Raw genomic sequence first — 20,202 nt, 5'->3', positions numbered from 1 at the left:
GTCAGCCACAAGCATATGGAGTGATGGCTCCTGAACAAAGACTGGGCAGAAAAGTGGGCAGAAGGGAATGCCAGAAATTGGAGACAGAGATAAGATACTAAACACAAACTTTTCCACTTCCTAATTTTGTCTAAGATAAGAAGATTCTAAAAACAAACTTTTCCACTTTCTCATTTTGTCTAAGTCCAGCCCTGCTTGCATCCAATGGAAGATAAAAGATTAAAACTAGAGATTATTTTCAACAAGCATGAATTGAGGACCTACTATAATTGGTTTATTGAGCAATCTTGCTTCACTGGACAATGAAAGTAGGAAGACATTATTTTTTCCTGTCATTGCTTTTACCTGGGCTCTGCAAAATATCCTTTTCCTGACACTTAATGAAATCTTGGGGAGATTTAATAATGTCAGGATCAGTTTGGTTATTAAACATCATTTTGTTTAAAACTCCAATCATATCCTATTCAAGTTTCAAATATTACCTTACCTCACTCCTGCTCCAGGTACTAGGTCACAAAGAAAGTCTTTAAAGTCAAAATGTTTAAGAATCTAAGTTATATGAACCATATTATCTGGCTATATTGTAATAATCATATAAGAAATAAGAGACTTAACTTACCTATACTGTTATAGGTTAAAAAAAATTGTGAGTCATTTACATTAACAGTGAAGAAGGGAAACATTGATATTTTCTTTTCATAAAAACACCACACTACTTCTTTTAGCATCTGAGATAGAAACAGAAGCTAATAAATAGGGAAAGAGTTTTTGATTTTTAACTTTGTATTTGATATACTAAAATAGCAGCCCATAAGTTCAAACCCCATGTGTTTCATTTTTATTCTGATATAATAATTTGAATAGAGAAAATTCTTAAAGTATCTTAAATGCTCATTTTTCCCTCAAATATCTCATATAACATGGTGCTCAGAATAAGGTGAAATGCAATATGTTGCTGTTTGTAGCAGCACGGTTTCTATTTTAATGGCTGATGATTTAAAATTTTATTTTAAAATTTATATATGCATATATCTATATTAAAATATAAGATTATTTTATATTTTATTTTAAAATCATCTTCTAAGATCAAAAACAATTTGGTTTGAAATGACAGTACAAGGAATGTGCATCAGTGCCTCCATGTCAACCTGCTGACACTGAACGTTCAGTTTTATTCTGCAACCTTCTGCAAGCTAATTTATACAGCATCCAAAGCTAAGGCGAAAATCAGGCCTGGAGTTAGAACTCACTGGATGTCAATCTGGTTTCTGATGGATAACAGAGGCTGAGGACATAAAATAGTCCGAGTGTTATTTATGCTATTCAGCTAGATATGTTTCATTGAAAGCAACTTGTTTTAAAATGTCTATGAGCTTGGAGTTGTATTTATATTGCATCAGATCCACAAAGGTGTGCAGTTTCTGGCTGGCACTGATCTGTTGACATGTCCTTGGCATAACACACTTGAAAAGTTACAACAGACTGCTTTTTTCTCCATGTTGTTGGTTTTCAGAAACTTATAAATAACTGACCAAATCTTCTAAATTAGAAGTAGTTGGATACTAGCAATGGTTCAAAACTTCCTACAGGGAAGTCCAACTGAGTATACTTGGAATGTTGTTGTGACACAGCCTGAATACAGGCACTAAGTTTCTGTATATGAGGCCTAGCATTAAACTCAGATTTGTAGGGAAAGTCTGATTCATGGCATGGAAATTGGAAAACACCTTATACTGTTGTAGGTCTTGCTGGGAATATCTGCAAGGCATGGCCTGATTAGAACTCCAATCTGTAAGCTGCCATTTACTTGCTATGCCTCATTTTATGACCCAGTTGCTGCTACTTCATCTCATGAATTTGTTGGTGCTAAAGCTATTGGGGTGGTTATAACTACCCTGTAGCTTGAGTTGAGAACCAAGGAATGTTACTGCTTATGACCTGAATACACGACGGTAGACTTGTAAAATAATCTTGGATATAAGTTAGGATTTTATCTGTTATGCCTAGTAGATAAAATCCTTACCAGAAAGTCAGATCTGAAGTTCCTCATTCTGCTGATTGTATTTGATATCTTCAAAATCAATGTTTAAGTTTTTCCTAGTCTTGTATTAGGTCATTATTATTATTATGTGGAAGGAAACTTGCAGGATCTCCACAAAGTGTCAGGTTCATTTGCTGAGATGGATCAATAGATTCATGTTTGAAGACATTGCCTTTTTGCATTTGGCACAATATTATCTTGCTGATTACTGGCTTCACTCATAGATGCATTTAAAAAGCTCTTTCAAAGGGTGCAGTATTTGAAACAGGATAAAACGCCCAGACTCATTTTGTTGCATCATAGCCCTCAGAAGGGAAGTAGGATTAATGGAATCCTTATTTTGAGCTAATTTGGTAGCAGAGTATTTTCCAGTAGTGCTACTATTAGTCCTCATTAGTAAGAGTTCCATCATGACAGGGAAAGGGCTGATTATCTCATCCATCACGGCTTCTCCAGCAGTAAACATAATAAAAGATAATTTCTATTTTATTTTTATAAATGCTCTGTTCCTTCTTCATTTCAGAGATGTCTTGAGTTGCACTGATACAATCTAGCCTGCCATTTTAAAAACAAAGGTTGTGTTTAACTGAACCCAGGTCCATTGCTTTTTTTTTCTTTTTTTGGTAGAAAGCCTGTATATGTTCAGGCCTGTTTCTTCAGGCTTACTCATCTGAACACAGTTTTTGACTCAACAAAGTGTATTAGCAGCCAGATCCCCCATGCACACAATTTTGCTTCAGCATATCCCAGAACAACTTTTCTTTTTGGCATCCCAAACTGTAGGTGTAAAATCTAGTTTGTGTTTAGTTTTAGAGTTGTTTTTTGTTTGTTTGTTTTTTGTTTGTTTGTTTTTTGTTTGTTTTTTGTTTGTTTTTTGTTTGTTTGTTTTTGGTGTAGGTTTCAATATGAATGGAGGTTTAGGTATGGCTGGATCAACTACTGTACAAAAGCCAAGGGAAGTGGAAGATTCATCTTTGCCTTTCTTGTCTGTCCATTAGGATACTTTAACCACTCTTGGGAATTTATGGCCAGGAAGTCTATTCAGCAGACTTCCTAATTGGCAGAGGAAGCACATTTCCATAAAAGAAGAGTTTCTGGAGGAAGCTAGCAGCTCCATTAGTTCTGTTGGAAGACAGTGCACTTGAAAGGTGTTTTTTGTTTTCTTGTTTGTTTGAGACGGAGTTTTGCTCTTGTTGCCCAGGCTACAGTGCAATGGCACAATCTCTGCTCACTGCAACCTCCACCTCCCGGGTTCAAGCGATTCTCCTGCCTTAGCCTCCTGAGTAGCTGGGATTACCTGGGCCATGCCTAGTGTGGCCGAAGCCGAGTTCTGACTTTGGCGCGGTTCAGTTCATACATCTCTGATGTTGACATCAGAAGCAGAAACGCCGGAGAATATTGTATAGTAGAAACACAAAAGATTTATAGGGATAACTAACACCAAGCCATTCGGAGCCTGATATGTGAAGTTTCCTTCCGTGTTCAGGCTTTCTGAGTTTTGCTCTATGGTATTCTGGCCTCTATTTCTGTTAGCTGGGAAGGATTTTAATGTAACGTTAAGAAAACTCTTTTCTCAGGTGTGTGATACTGAGCCTATAAACTGTTTGTGCAGCTTATTAATAAAATCTTGTGGAAAAGGTGTCATGCTATCCAAACAGGCAAATTCTGTAATAGGAGAGTCTCTGACGCCTGAAATATTATAGTTTGCTTTGACTCCCTCAGACTGGTTTGGTGTGATATTTTCTGCAACTGGCATGTACACGCCTGCACCTGGGGCGGTGGGGTCCCTGCGGGCTGCAGGCTCCGGGTTGCCGCGGAGACGCGTCTGCTTTCCCTCGGTCTTCGCGGGGCGGGTGGGGGGAGGCCAGGGTGCCTGGAGGCCTGAACACATCCAACAGCTCCAGCAGGCTGAGGGCGAGCCCAAGCTGGGGCTGAGGACAGTAGAGCTGAACGAAGACGCACCTGAGACGGTCTACACCAGCGGTGTCGCTGCCCGAAAGTGAGAGAAGGCTGATACTGCTAGCTGGAATCCAGGCCTGGGTGCTGCATGGTGGCGCCCCTCCCCGTGACCACCGCTGCGTTTTCTCGGGGTGAGAAAGGCGCCCCCACCATGCCCCTGCCCCTGGACTTCTGGCCTAAGAAGCTCCAGCGTCCGCTACCTCCCTGGGAGGGAGTGGGGTGGGGGTGGTGGGGAGCAGGACATGTTCTGGATTCTCAGGCCGCCCCCTGCATGTTCCATTGACTTTTAGTATGGGACATGGAGATATTAAGCGGCATCTCAGAGAATCTCCTGGGTTTAGACACAGACTTCCCTAGCCCTGTTGTTTAGTAGCAATCTAATTTCCCTTTTGTAATCAGGATCTATGGCTGCAGCAATTGAGTACTGTTCTTTGTTTCAGTGGCAGGAGAAGCCCCAAAAGGCCAGGTGCTTGTTTCAGCTGCCAATTCAAGGGCTCCATTGTTGTTGGCACTAAGACACACAGCCAGCAGGGCTCAGAGTTGGGACGGGAAGCAAAAGTCCTGCAATTGAGTTGTTAGCTATGGAATAATAAGGGGAATCACCTCACAACCATTCCTTGATCCTGGGCTGGTGGAAGAAACAGTACCCATGTATCAATCCCTCTCTCCCTGTCTCCCTCTCTCCCTCTGGCATTCTGTAAGATAGAATCTATCCTTTTAGGGTGTTGTCCCCTAATTGGTACCATCTGTAGCTGAGTTTTTGGTAAGCCTCTTACCAGCTTGTTACCATGACCCACATGTTTCGTGGTCATGGGTTACCTGGTAAGGCCAGTGAATTTCTAGGGAATCAGTCCATCAGTTTTGTGAGTGCAGATGGTGCTGGCTAGTACATATTCTGGCAGGGAGAGCTAATCCATATTCAGAATAGTGTCTATTCCAAGGAGGACAAATCAGTTCTCCTTCTATGATGTAAGGGGCCTGATGTAATCAATCTGTCACCAGGTGGTTGGCTGATGTTCCCGGGGGAATGGTGCTATATTGGAGACTCAGCTTTGGTCTCTGCTGTTGGAAGATCCCACATCTGGTAATGTTGGTAGCAGGCCTCAGAGAGGGGAACTCACATTATTGATCCCTGCCAGTATGGCCACTTTGCATTTGGGAAAGAGGCTGACTGAAGGAATGTGATTTTTGTTTTTTCTTTGAGACAGAGTTTCACTCTTGCTGCCCAGGCTGGAGTGCAATGGAATGATCTCGGCTCACTGCAACCTCTGCCTACTGGGTTCAAGCAATTCTCCTGCCTCAGCCTCCCGAGTAGCTGGGATTACAGACGTGTGCCACCATACCCGACTAATTTTTGTATTTTGAGTAGAGACAGGGTTTCACCATGTTGGCCAGGCTGGTCTTGAGCTCCTGACCTCAGGTGATCCGCCCACCTCAGCCTCCCAAAGTGCTGGGATTATAGGCGTAAGCCACCATGCCCAGCCAGGAATGTGATTTTTATCTACCTGTAGGGGTTGCCCTTTAGTGAGCACGCACATGAGGACGCAGATATCCACATCATCCATATACCTCTTTGGAGGCATTCCTATTAAAGCCAAAAATAAGACAAACACACCTGCTATCCCCATGTCAGTCAACATTGTAGAGAGAATTTGGTTAATGTAGTGAGACCTGAAAAAGAAATAGACCTGAAAAACCAGTGTCTACTATAGACACTGGTTGCTTGAGCTCATAGGACTTGCTCAGAAGCCTTATGAAATGTATCTCAGAACTGTCTGCATAGGGGAATAAAGGGGAAAGCACTTTTCCACTTGCTCCTATTCCCCATCTGTCAAGGATTTCCTCATCAAGCATTAACTCTCCCTCCCCTACCCCACTTCTGGGTTGTCTCTGAGTGCTGCTGAGCAAATTTCCAGGACAGGAACAATTTCCAGGACACAGTGAGGTTACCATCAGGTTGCACCTGGGTGGCAAAGAGGTCAGAAGTGGTGAGCAAGACATATCCAATATCAAGTGTATAATAATAAGGAAGAGAATAAACTAATTTACATAAACATGATTATTAGAAAATCCAAAGAATATTATAAACAGAATTAATAAGAGGCCTCAACAGCATTTCTAGATTGACCAATGTACAAAAATCCATAGTGGTTTTGTATATTGATTAGAAAAGGCAATCAAAGTCTAGGTGCGGTCACTCACGCCTGTAATCCCAGCACTTTGGGAGACTGAGGTGGGCGATCACTTGAGGCCAGGAGTTCAAGACCATCCTGGTCAACATGATGAAACCCCGTCTCTACTAAAAAAGCAAAAAATTACCCGGGCAGGGTGCAGGCCTTGCAGGCCTGTAATCCCAGCTACTCGGGAGGCTGAGGCACAAGAATGAGCCTGAGGGGAAGGCTGCAGTGAGCTGTGATTGCGCCACTACACTCCAGTCTGGGCAACAGAGGGAGACTCTGTCTCCAAAACAAAGCAAGAAAAAACAAACAAGACACAAACCTTAAAACTCCCCAAACTCCTATTCCTGAGGCAAATAGGCAAGATACTAAAATATGATAAAACACAATGGAGGTTCAGGGATGTTCGTTGCATTATATTCTTTTTTCTTTTTTCTTTTTGAGACGGAGTCTCACTCTGTCGCCCAGGCTGGAGGGCAGTGGTGTGGTCTCGGCTGGCTGCAAGTTCCGCCTCCCAGGTTCCGGCCAGTCTCCTGCCTCAGCCTCCCTAGTAGCTGGCGCCCGCCACCACGCTTGGCTAATTTTTTGTATTTTTTTAGTAGAGACAGGGTTTCACCATGTTAGCCAGGATGGTCTCGATCTCCTGACGTCGTGATCCGCCCATCTCGGACTCCCAAAGTGCTGGGATTACAGGCGTAAGCCACGCGCCTGGCCTCGTTGCATTATTTTCTACATTCATCTTTATGTACAAAAAAACTTAAGTCCGGTTAAGGCTGATTGGTTTAATCTGAATTCTGACTTTATTTCTCTGTGAGAATTTGAGCTTTGTTCTCCCTTGTGTGCGATCTTTATTCTCTAGTCTGTTTCTGTGGTCACAAGATGGCTGCCAGTAACATATGGGGCTTCATGCATCCTTGTTCACATCCAGAGACAGACCTCTCAGAGCTATTGTGAAAATTTTTTGAGCTTCTCAGAGTATCTTGGGTCAGGTGCGCACTTCTACATTAATCCTGGGGGCTGGGGGAATTCCATGCCCTGACTAGCTTGGGCAGGACTGTTAAATTAATCAATATGGCAAGGGGGATGGGACTACCCTGATTGGCTGAGGAGGTTGTCAGTCCCATTAAAACCACATAGCTACTACACAATGGTGACAGACGGAAAGAGTATTGGGAGGGTCGGGTGCGGTGGCTCAGGCCTGAAATCCCAACTCTTTGGGAGGCCAAGAGGGTGGACAGTTTGAGCCCAGGAGCTCAAGACCAGCTTGGGCAACATGGTGAAACCCCAACTCCATTAAAAAATACAAAAGTTAGCCGGGTGTGGTGGTACACACCAGTAGTCCCAGCTACTCGGGAGGCTGAGGTGGGAGGATCGCTTGAGCCTGCGAGGGGGAGGTTGCAGTGAGCTGAGATCGCACCAGTGCACTCCAACCTGGGTGACAGAGCGAGACTCAGAGGGTCTCAAAAAAAAAAAAAAAGGTATTAGGAGACAATGACTATGTATGTAGGTATAGTTTTTCTTGTTTACATATGAATTTGAGACCATGTTATATGTATGGCTAAAATATATTTAGAATTTTTTGTTTAGAGCAGGATTATTTGTATCAATAATGGTTTCTAAAAACCTGGATTCAACCGAAATAGTTAACTAAAAGGGAACAAAAATGTGGGCTATTACGCAGGTATTAATAATGACAAATTGTAGACTTAGCTTTTTCAAAGCTTGCCAATGACTTGGCAGTGAAGTAAATAATAAAAAGTCATGTTGATGTGATTTTTCTGTCCAGTAACCTCAGATAATAATTTAAAGCCATCTTTAATATGGCTTCCTGATGAAAAAGTGAATGCTTTGGGCAAGGAAAACAGTATTCAGTGATTCAGTGGGTGCTTTATTAGATGTAGTCACAACTCCATTATTCCCTTTCATGGTTCTCATGTTTTCAACATCATGAATGTTTCAGAACTTTTTTTGTATTCTGATTATGTCATTTTTTTATTTGTCCTCTTGGTCCTATAATTCCCCCCTGCATCAGAACATTAGAATCTACCTACTCTACTAGGAAGTAGTCTCAACAAGTTGAAAACATGAGTGGAAAAAAGTCATGTGCCAATGAAAGTGGGGAAGGAGTTAGTTTGTTAATTTCCAAGGTACTAATTTAAAAAAAAGTTGTAAAATACTTATAAATGTTATTTTAACCCTTTTTGAGTGTGAAATTTGGTAGAATTAACTATATTTACATTGTTGTGCAACCATCACTACACGCCATCTCCAAAACATTTTTATTATCCCAAACTGAAACTCCCTGTTCTCCCACCCTGGTAACCACTATTATATTTTCTTTCTCTACCAATTTGATTCTTCTAGATACCTCATTTAAGTGGGACCATATAATATTTACTCTTTTGTCTAGCTTATTTCATTTAGTATAAAGTTTTCAAGATTTAACCATGTTGTAGCTCATAATTATTGATAGGTAAGAACTTACTTTTACCTTTTTTAAATTTATTTTCTGTACATCATAGCTTTGTTTCCCATTCCTTCTGTTACTACCTTTCTTTGTCTTTATTTTTTCTGAGCTGACTCATTTTGATTACCTTTTCATTTCATTTGTGTGTTTTCTATAGATAATTTCTTTGTGATCACTATGGGGATTACATGTAATATCCTAAAGTTATAATGATCTACTTTGAATTGATAATTTAACTTCAGTCATATACAAAAACTATATTCCTATACAATTTCATCCCACCTTTATGTTACTGATATCACAAATTACATCTTTATACATTGTATACCCATTAATATAGATTTATAATTAATTTTTATGCATTTGGCTTTTAAATCCTGTAGAGAATAAAAAGTGGTGTTACAAACCAAAATTACAATAAGACTGATTTTTTTCAAACCCTTGGTCAGTTTGAAAAATTTTAAATTTTATTTTATTTTACTTTAAGTTCTGGGATACATGTGCAGAACATGCAGGTTGGCTACATAGGTATGCATGTGCCATGGTGGTTTGCTGCATCTATCAACCCATCATCTAGGTTTTAAGTCCCACATGCATTAGGTATTTGTCCTAATACTTTCACTCCCCTTGCACCCCACCCCCCAACAGGCCTTGGTGTGTGATGTTCCCCTCCCTTCCTCCATGTGTTCTCACTTTTCAACTCCCACTTATGAGTGAGAACATGCTGTGTTTAGTTTTCTGTTCCTGTGTTACTTTGCCGAGAATGATGGTTTCCAGCTTCATCCATGTCCCTGCAAAGGACATGAATTCATTCTTTTTTATGGCTGTGTAGTATTCCACGGTGTATATGTGCCACATTTTCTTAATCCAGTCTATCACTGATGGGCATTTGGGTTGGTTCTAAGTCTTTGCTATTGTAAATAGTGCTGCAATAAACATACATGTACATGTGTCTTTATAGTAGAATGATTTGTAAACCTTTGTGTATATACCTGGTAACAGGATTGCTGGGTCAAATGGTATTTCTGATTCTAGATCCTTGAGGAATCACCACACTGTCTTCCACAATGGTTGAACTAATTTATACTCCCACCAACAGTGTAAAAACATTCCTATTTCTCCACAGCCTCGCCAGCATCTGTTGTTTCCTGAATTTTAAATGATCGTCATTCTAACTGGTGTGAGATGGTATCTCATTGTGGTTTTGATTTGCATTTCTCTAATGACCAGTGATGATGAGCTTTTTAAAAATATGTTTGTTGGCTGCATAAATGTCTTCTTTTGAAAAGCGTCTGTTCACATCCTCCATCCACTTTTTGATGGGATTGTTTGTTTTTTTCTTGTTAAGTTCCTTGTTTAGACATTTGTCAAATGGGTAGATTGCAAATTTCTCTCCTATTCTGTAGGTTGCCTGTTCACTCTGATGATAGTTTCTTTTGCTGAGAAGAAGCTCCTTAGTTTAATTAGATCCCATTTGTCAATTTTGGCTTTTGTCACAGTTGCCTTTGGCATTTGAGTCAGGAAGTCTTTGCCCATGCCTATGTCCTGAAGGGTATTGCCTAGGTTTTCTTCTATTGTTTTTATGGTTTTGGGTTTTACATGTAAATCTTTAATCCATCTTGAGTTAGTTTTCATATAAGGTGTAAGGAAGGGGTCCAGTTTGTGTTTTCTGCATATGGCTAGCCAGTTTTCCCAGCACTGTTTATTAAATAGGGACTCCTTTCCCCACTGCTTGTTTTTGTCAGGTTTGTCAAAGATCAGATGGTTGTAGTTGTGTGGTGTTATTTCTGAGGTCTCTGTTCTGTTCCATTGGTCTATATATATGTTTTGATACCAGTACCATGCTGTTTTGGTTACTGTAGTCTTGTAGTATAGTTTGAAGTCAGGTAGTGTGATGCCTCCAGCTTTGTTCTTTTTGCTTAGGATTGTCTTGGCTATATGGGCTCTTTTGGTTCCATATGAAATTGAATGTAGTTTTTTCTAATTCTGCAAAGGAAGTCAATGGTAGCTTGATGCGAATAGCATTGAATCTATAAATTACTTTGGGCTGTATGGCCATTGTCACAATATTGATTCTTCTTATCCATGAGCATGGAATGTTTTTCCATTTGTTTGTTTACTCTCTTATTTCCTTGAGCAGTGGTTTGTGGTTCTCCTTGAAGAGGTCCTTCATGTCCCTTGTAAGTTATATTCTTAGGTACTTTATTCTCTTTGTAGCAATTGTGAATGGGAGTTCACTCATGATTTGGCTCTCTGCTGGTCTGTTATTGGTGTATGCTTGTGATTTCTGCACATTAACTTTGTATCCTGAGACTTTGTTGAAGTTGCTTATCAGCTTAAGGAGATTTTGGGCTGAGACGATGGAGTTTTCTAAATACACAATCATGTCATCTGCAAACAGAGACAATTTTACTTCCTCTCTTCCTATTTGAATACACTTTATTTCTCTCTCTTGCCTGATTGCCCTGGCCAGAACTTCCAATACTATGTTGAATAGGAGTGGTGAGAGAGGGCGTCCTTGTCTTGTACCAGTTTTCAGAGGGAATGCTTCAGCTTTTGCCCATTCAGTATGATATTGGCTACAGACTTATCATAAATAGCTCTTATTATTTTGAGATGTTCCATCAATACCCAGTTTATTGAGAGTTTTTAGCATGAAGGGATGTTGAATTTTATCAAAGCCATTTGCTGTATCTATTGAGATAATCATGTGGTTTTGTCATTGGTTGTGTTTATGCAATGGATTATGTTTATTGATTTGTGCATGTTGAACCAGCCTTGTGTCCCAGGGATGAAGCCGACTTGATCATGGTGGATAAGCTTTTTGATGGCTGCTGGATTAGGTTTGCCAGTATTTTATTGAGGATATTCACGTCAATGTTCATCAGGGATATTGGCCTATAATTTTCTTTTTTTGTTGTATGTCTTCCAGGTGATGGTATCAGGATGATGCTGGCCTTATAAAATGAGTAAGGGAGGAGTCCTTCTTTTTCTATTGTTTGGGATAGTTTCAGAAGGAATTGTACCAGCTCCTCTTTGTACCTCTGGTAGAATTCGGCTGTGAATCCGTCTGGTCCTGGGCTTTGTTTGGGAGGGTATTCATTACTGCCTCAATTTCAGAACTTGTTATTGATCTATTCAGGGATTCAACTTCTTCCTTGTTTAGTCTTGGGAGGGTGTGTGTGTCCAGGAATTTATCTATTTCTTCTAGATTTTCTGGTTTATTTGTGTAGAGGTGTTTATAGTTAATAGTATTCTCTGATAGTAGTTTGTATTTCTGTGGGATCAGTGGTGATATCCCCTTTATCATTTTTTATTGTGTCTATTTGATTCTGTCTTTTCTCCTTTATTAGTCTAGCTAGCAGTCCATCTATTTTGTTAATCTTCTCAAAAAAAAAAAAAACAGCTCTTGGATTCAATGATTTTTTTAAGGGTTTTTTATGTCTCTATCTCTCTCAGTTCTGTTCTGATCTTAGTTATTTCTTGTCTCCTGCTAGCTTTTGAATTTGTTTGCTCTTGCTTCTCTAGTTCTTTTAATTATGATGTTAGGTGTCAATTTTAGATCTTTCCTGCTTTCTGATGTGGGCATTTAGTACTATAAATTTCCCTCTTAACACTGCTTTAGCTGTGTCCCAGTGATTCTGGTACGTTGTCTCTTTGTTCTCATTGGTTTTAAAGAACTTTGTTATTTCTGCCTTCATTTCGTTATTTACCCAGTAGTCATTCAACAGCAAGTTGTTCAGTTTCCATGTGGTTGTGTGGTTTTGAGTGAGTTTTTTAATCCTAAGTTCTAATTTGACGGCACTGTGGTCTGAGAGACTGTTATGATTTCCATTCTTTTGCATTTGCTGAGGAGTGTTTTACTTCCAATTATGTCATCAATTTTAGAATAAGTGCCATTTGGTACTGAGAAGAATATATATTTTGTTGGGGTGGAGAGTTCTGTAGATGTCTGTTAGGTCCACTTGGTCCAGAGCTGAGTTCAAGTCCTGAATATCCTTGTTAATTTTCTGTCTTGTTGAGCCATCTAATATTGACAGTGGAGTGTTAAAGTTTCCCACCATTATTGTGTGGGAGTCTAAGTCTCTTTACAGGTCTCTAAGAACTTGGTTTATGAATCTGGGTGCTCCTGTATTGGGTGCATATATATTTAGGACAGTTAGCTCTTCTTGTTGCATTGATCCCTTTACCATTGTGTAATGCCCTTCATTGTCCTTTTTGATCTTTGTTGGTTTAAAGTCTGTTTTATCAGAGACTAGGATTGCAACCCCTGTCATTTATTTGCCTTCCATTTGCTTGGTAAATATTCCTCTATCCCTTTATTTTGAACCTATACGTGTCTTTGCACGTGAGATGGGTCTCCTGAATGCAGCACACCAATAGGTCTTAACTCCTTATCCAATTGCCAGTCTGTGTCTTTTAATTAGGGCATTTAGCCCATTTACATTTAAGGTTAATATTGTTATGGGTAAATCTGATCCTGTCATCATGATGCTAGCTGGTTATTTTGCACATTAGTTGATGCAATTTCTTCATAGTGTCATTGGTCTTTACATTTTGGTGTGTTTTTGCAGTGGCTGGTACTGGTTTTTCCTTTCCATATTTAGTGCTTCCTTCAGGAGCTCTTCTGGTGGTGACAAAATACCTCAGCATTTGCTTGTCTGGAAAGGATTTTATTTCTCCTTCACTTATGAAGCTTAATTTGACTGGATATGAAATTCTGGATTGAAAATTCTTTCAGAATGTTGAATATTGGCCTCTACCCTCTTCTGGTTTGTAGGGTTTCTACAGAGAGATCAACTGTTAGTCTAATGAGCTTCCCTTTGTAGGTAACTTGACCTTTCTCTCTGGCTGCCCTTAACATTTTTTCTTTTGTTTCAACCTTGGAGTATCTGCAATTATGTGTCTTGGGGTTGCTCTTCTTGAGGAGTATCTTAGTGGTGTTCTCTGTATTTCCTGAATTTGAATGTTGGCCTGTCTTGCTAGGTTGGGGAAGTTCTCCTGGATAATATCCTGAAGTGTGTTTTCCAACTTGGTTCCATTCTCCCCGTCACTTTCAGGTACACCAGTCAATCATAGGTTTGGTCTTTTCCACATAGTACCATATTTCTTGGAGGCTTTGTTTGTTCCTTTTCATTCCTTATTTTTTTTTCTAATCTTGTCTTTACGCCTTATTTTAGTAAGGAGATCTTCAGTCTCTGATACCCTTTCTTCCGCTTGTTGGATTTGGCTATTGATACTTGTGAATGCTTCACACAGTTCTCATGCTGTGTTTTTCAGCTCCATCAGGTCAATTTATGTTCTTCTTTAGACTGGTTATTCTAGTTAGCAGTTCCTGTAATCTTTTATCAAGGTTCTTAGCTTCCTTGCATTGGGTTAGAACATACTCCTTTAGCTCAGAGGAGTTTATTACCCACCTTCTGAAGCCTACTTCTGTCAATTCATCAATCTCATTCTCTATCCAGTTTTGTGTCCTTGCTGGAAAGGAGTTGTGATCATTTGGAGAAGAGGCATTCTGGTTTTTAGAATTTTCAGCATTTTTGTGCTGGTTTTTCCTCATCTTTGTGGATTTATTTACCTTCGATCTTTGGGGATGATGACCTTTGGATTGGGTTTCTGTGTGGGGTTCTTTTTTGTTGATGTTGATGTTGATGTTGTTGCTTTCTGTGCATTAGTTTTTCTTCTAACAGGCCCCTCCTCTGTAAGTCTGCTGCCGTTTGCTGGAGGTCCACTCCAGACCCTGTTTTCCTGGGTATCACCAGTGGAGGCTGCAGAACAGCAAAGATTGCTGCCTGCTCCTTCCTCTGGAAGCTTTGTCCCAGAGGGGCACTGGCCTGATGCCAGCCAGAGCTCTCCTGCATGAGGTGTCTGTCGACCCCTGCTGGGAGGTCTCTCTCAGTCAGGAGGCACGGGGGTCAGGGACCCACCTGAGGAGGCAGGCTGTCCCTTTGCAGAGCTGGTGCACTGTGCTGGGAGAATCCCCCTTGTCAGGATCAGCTGCTCTCTTCAGAGTCAGCAGGCAGGAAAAATTAAATTCGTTGAAGCTGCCCCACAGCTGCCCCTCCCACAGGTGCTCTGTCCCAGGGAGATAAGAGTTTTATCTGTAATCCCCTGACTGGGGCTGCTGCTTTTCCTTCAGAGATGCCCTGCCCAGTGAGGAGGAATCTAGGGAAGCAGTCTGGCCACATCCACTGTGCTGTGCTGTGGTGAATTCTGCCCAGTCCATACCTCCCAGCCTCCTTAGCAGTGTCAGGGGAAAACTAAAGCCTCATAATAGCAGATGCCCCTCCCCCTACCAAGCTTGATTGTCGCAGGTCAACTTCAGACTGCTGTGCTGGCTGTAAGAATTTCAAGCCAGTGGTTCTTAGCTTGCTGGGCTCCTTTAGAGTGGGACCTGCTGAGCCAGACCACTTGGCTCCCTGGCTTCAGCTGCCTTTCCAGGGGAGTGAATGATTCTATCTTGCTTGGGTTCCTGGCACCACTGGGGTATGAAAAAAACTCCTGCAGTTAGCATGGTGTCTGCCCAAACAGCCACCCAATTTTGGGCTTGAAACCCAGTGCCCTGGTGGTGTAGGCACACGAGGGAGCCTCCTGATCTGTGGGTTGCAAAAACCATGGGAAAAGTGCACTACCCAGTCTTGGTAGCACGGTCCCTCACGGCTTCCCTTGGCTTCGGGAGGGAGGTCCCCTGGCTTCTGGCACTTTCCGGGTGAAGTGACACTTCAGCTTGCTTCTGCTTGCTGTCTGTGGGTTGCACCCAATACCTAACCAGTCCCAGTGAAATGAACTGGGTCCCTCAGTTGGAAATGCACCTACCTTCTGCATTGGTCTCACTGGGAGCTGCAGACTGGAGTTATTTCTATTTGGCTATCTTGGCCCCTCCCTAAACACATCTTTTTAAATATGCCATCCAATGTGTTGTCAAAAAATGATTAATTAAAACATGGAATCAAAAATGTACACATTTCTAGGCTTTCAGGGGGGTCCTGACATCTTAGCTGTGGATCTCCCAATACCTGCAGGTCACAGGGCCACAGAAGCTGCACCTCTAGGAGCAGAGGACACAGAGCAGTGAAGAGGAGACCTGGAGCTCTGGCTGCAGTGAGAGACCCAGTTTGCAAAATTTTTATTGCTGCTTTTGTAATTTTGTTGCTTTTCTTTTATTACCTTTCATATATTATATATATATATAAAATATATTATATATATATAATATAAAAAATATATATTATATATAATATAAAATATATATATTATATATATATAAAATATATATTATATATATTATATATATAAAATATATATTATATATATTATATATAAAATATATATATTATATATATATATAAAATATATATATTTTATATATATATAAAATATATATATATTATATTATATATATAAACCTCTCTCATGTATATGTGTGTGTGTGTGTGTGTGTGTGTGCACGCGTGCATGAGTCTTTTTTTATGCTGGTACCACACTGTCTTGCTATGTTGCCCAGCTGATCTCAAGCTGATCTTCTTGTCTCAGTGCCCTGAGTAGCTGGGATTACAAGTGGCTGTAATCACCCGGCTGATCTTTCTTTTATATTAGTCCATGTATTTATTTTTGCTGAAGATCTTCATATCTTCCTATGGGTATGAGTTACTGTAAGTGTCCTTGCATTTCTACCTGAAGGACTACCATTAACATTTTTTATAAGGCAGGTCTAGTGGTAATGAATTTCCTGGGTTTCTGGTTATCTGTGAATGTCTTAACTTTTCCATCATTTTGAAAGACTGTTTTGCCAGATGCAGAATTCTCAGCTGACATTTTCTTTCAGCACTTTATCCCACTGCATTTTGTCCTCCAAAGTATATGCTGAAGAATTGATTGATAGTATTTTTGAAGATTGCTTGTATGTGATGAGTTGCTTCTCTCTTCTCTCAATTCTGTCTTTAACAGTTTGATTATAATATGTTTTGGAGTGGACCACTTTGGAAGCTGAGTTTCTTGGATTTGTATATTAATGTCTTTCATTGTATTTGGGATTTTTTTTAGTCATTATTTCTGCATATAATCTCACTATCTCTTTCTTCTCCTTGGATTCTCATAATGCATATATTAATCTGCTTCATAAGTCCCTTCATCTCTGTTCACTTTTATTTTAGATTTGAAAATTTTGAATGTACTATCTTCCACTGATTTTTTTTTCCTTCTGCCTGTTCACATCTGCTTTGATTTCTCTTGAATAAATGCCTAGGAGTGAAATTGCCGGGTTATGGTTTCAGTATATGTTTAATTTTATAAGAAACTGCCAGACATTTTTGGAAAGTGGCTATGTATTTTACACTTTTATCCATAATGCATCAGAGTTGCTATTGATCTATATTTTTGCCAGCATTTGGTGTTAAAGTCTTCAATTTTAACCATTCTGATGGGTGTGTAATAGTACCTTATTGTAGTTTAAATTTGTGGGTTTTTTGGGCTCTGATAATTAATCTCTGACGGCTAATGATATTGAATACTTTTTCATGTGTTTATTTGCCATTAGTAGATTTTCATTTGTAAAATATCTGTTCAAATATATTGCCCCTTATTTAATTGAGTGGTTTGAACCTTTTAAAGAAACGGAGTTGTGGGAGTTCCTTATCTATTCCAATTATTAGTCCTATGTCACACTTTAGTTTTGAGAATATTTTCTCTTGGTCTGGAGTTTATCTATTTTTTTTTAGTGGTGTATTTTGATTAGGAGCAGCTTTTAATTTGGATAAAGTCTAATTTATCAATTTTTTGATGGTTATGGCCTTCTTTGTCCTTTCCAAGAAACTTTTGCCTACTCCCAAGCCATAAATACATTCTTCCAGAAGTTTCATAGTTTTATTCTTTGTTTAGACCTGTGATCCATTTTGAGTTGACTTTTGTGCAGGTGTGGGGTAAAGGTCAAGGTTCATTTGTTTTCCCATTTGGATTTTCAGTTGTTTCAGTACCATTTGATGAAAAGACTTCTTTTTGCATAAGATTGCTTTGATACTTTTGTTGTTGAAAATTAGTGGACCATATAAATATGAATCTACTTCTAAGCTCTGTTCTATTTATCTACTTGTCTGTTTTTTATGCTGGTACCACACTGTCTTGATTACCATACTTTATAGTAAATCATAGAGATAGATAGTACCAGCCCTTCAAGTTTGTTCTTCTTTTACAAGATGTATTTGGCTATTTTGGGTCCTTTTCATTTATGTGTAAATTTTAGAATCAGCTTGTCAATTTCTTTGAAAGCGCCTTTCAGGATTATGATTTGGGTTGCCATTGAATCTACAGGTAAATTTGAGGAGAATTGACATCTTAACAACATTAAGCCTTCCATCTATGAACAGATGCATTTCTCCATTTACTTCAGTTTTCTTCATTGTCCTTCAGCGATGTTTACAGTTTTCAATGTAGAGGTCTTGCACATCCTTTGTTAAATTTATTTTTAAACATCTAATTGTTTGATATTGAAAATAAAATTTATTTCAAATCATTTGCTTCTAGTATATAAAAACATAATTGCTTTTTATACTAACCTTGCATCTTGCAGCTTTGCGAAACTCATTTATTCTAATAGTTGTTTTGCTGATTACTTGGAATTTTCTACAATGTTGATTAGAAGTGTTGAGAATAGACATCTTTGCTTTTTCTTTTTATCTTAGGGGAAAACATTTATTCCACCACTTCATATGATGTTAAATATAAGTATTTTGTAAATGTTCTTTATCAGATTGAGAAAGTTCCTTCCAATTCTAAACTTACTGAGACTTTTATAAAAATTCACGATAAAATAATAATGAATTTTGCCAAACGGCCTTTTCTGTACCTACTAAAATGATTTTTATTATCTCCTTTATTCTGTTAATATAGTGAATTTCATTTTTTTCAAACAATAAACTAAACTTGCTTCTCTAGGAAAATCTGCAACTGCTCTCAATGTATTCTTTTTAACATATTGCTAGGCTTGACTTGTTAATATATTAAGACTTTTTTCACCTATTTTTCTAGCAGTTTTGTTTTAGAATCCAAAAGCAATATATACTTACAGCAGGGGGGACCTTCAACCAATTTAAAAGTGAATCAATTAAATATAAAAGTTACTTCTTTCTATCCCATCCATCCTCTTAAAGAAATAATCACAATGAACAATTTGATGTGTATTCCTCTCACTTTTTAAATACATGCACAAATATATACAGTTTAAATTCTGCTTTTTCACATAACACTTCCTCATAACATTAAATATTCTCCAAAATATGTATTTTTAATGTATTTAACTATTTTCCTATTGTTGGACATATAGGTCGCATATATTTATTCATTGAGACAGGGTCTCACTGTGTCACTCAGGCTGGAGTGCAATGGTGCGATTATGGTTCACTGCAGCCTTGAACTCCTGGGCTCAAGTAATCCTCCCACCTTAGGCTCCCCAGCAGCTGGGACCACAGGCACATGCCACCACATCTAGCTAATTTTTTGACTTTTTTGTAGAGATGGGGGTCTCACTTTGTTGCCCAGGTTGCTTTCAAACTCCTGGGCTCAAGAGATCCTCCCGCCTTGGCCTCCCAAAGTGTTGGGATTACAGGTGTGAGCCATGGTGCCTGGCCATATTACTTTATTATGGAATGAAACAAAATGTTAAAGATGATGTATGCTGAGAGTACAATGGAGTTACATACCAGGTGCTGAAAAGACTTCTCAAAGTAGATGGCTGTGCTTGAGCTGATTTCTGATAGTTGACAGAGTGCTGAGTTGTTTCATTAAGAATGGAAGACAGGGAGGGAAGGAAGACAAAGTAGGAAAAGCAGAAGGAAGACAGAAATAAAGAAGGGGGAAAAGGACATGAGAAAAAAGATGAAGAAAAAAAATCATTAGTATCATGCTTAGTAGCTGCTCGACATATACAGTGTTCTGAACCACCAGCCCATTTCTCCATCCCATCTTTAAAAGAAAGATCCTTCCAATGTAGTTCACCCTTTCCTTGCAAAATGTTTTTTGTTATTTGAATTTTACTATTTTTAGCTGGTGAAAAGCCAAACAACTCATGGAAAACTTTCCCATGAGGTAATAGGAACCACTGAGCAACATTCCAAATGTCTTATTTCAAGTGATTACACATAAGATTTGTTTTTCTTCTATGCTTTTCTGTTGGATAATGAGGAATATATACAGATGTTTATTTTGTAATGTCTCCAACTCCTCTTGTAGATCCTATCATAGTGTATCCTCTAAAATCTAAACATACTTGGCAGGTGATTTTTCCTCTTTTCACCTCCCTCCTTTGAATGGCCAACAACAGAATATTTCCACTTCCTAAGTTTGGCTCTTTTACTTTTTTCTTTCTTTCTTTCTTTTTTTTTTTTTTTTTTTATTTTTTTTTTGAGACTGGGTGTCACTCTGTTGCCCAGACTGGAGTGCAGTGGCGCAATCTCGGCTCACTGCAACCTCTGCCTCCGGGGTTCAAGTGATTCTCCTGCCTCAGCCTCCTGAGTAGCTGGGATTACAGGCGCACGCCACCATGCCTGGCTAATATATATATATCT

General features: G+C 39.3%; 1 pseudogene, besides 1 other annotated feature; it reads right to left on the bottom strand.

Moving 5' to 3' along the window:
- LOC100533655 (aryl hydrocarbon receptor pseudogene) lies at nucleotides 1,314–3,773 on the bottom strand (annotated as a pseudogene).
- Nucleotides 14,627–14,921: an enhancer, noted in NCBI's record as "tiled region #4970; K562 Activating DNase matched - State 8:EnhW". NCBI's record gives its function as "activates a minimal TATA promoter and a strong SV40 promoter by Sharpr-MPRA in K562 cells {active_cell/tissue: K562}" and the evidence as "EXISTENCE:reporter gene assay evidence [ECO:0000049][PMID:27701403]".

Source organism: Homo sapiens, chromosome 6 (genome assembly GCF_000001405.40).
Source record: "Homo sapiens chromosome 6, GRCh38.p14 Primary Assembly".
NCBI classification, from domain to species: Eukaryota; Metazoa; Chordata; class Mammalia; order Primates; family Hominidae; genus Homo; species Homo sapiens.
Note: the sequence above shows the minus strand (reverse complement) of the source record. Positions and strands in the feature narration are given on the sequence as shown.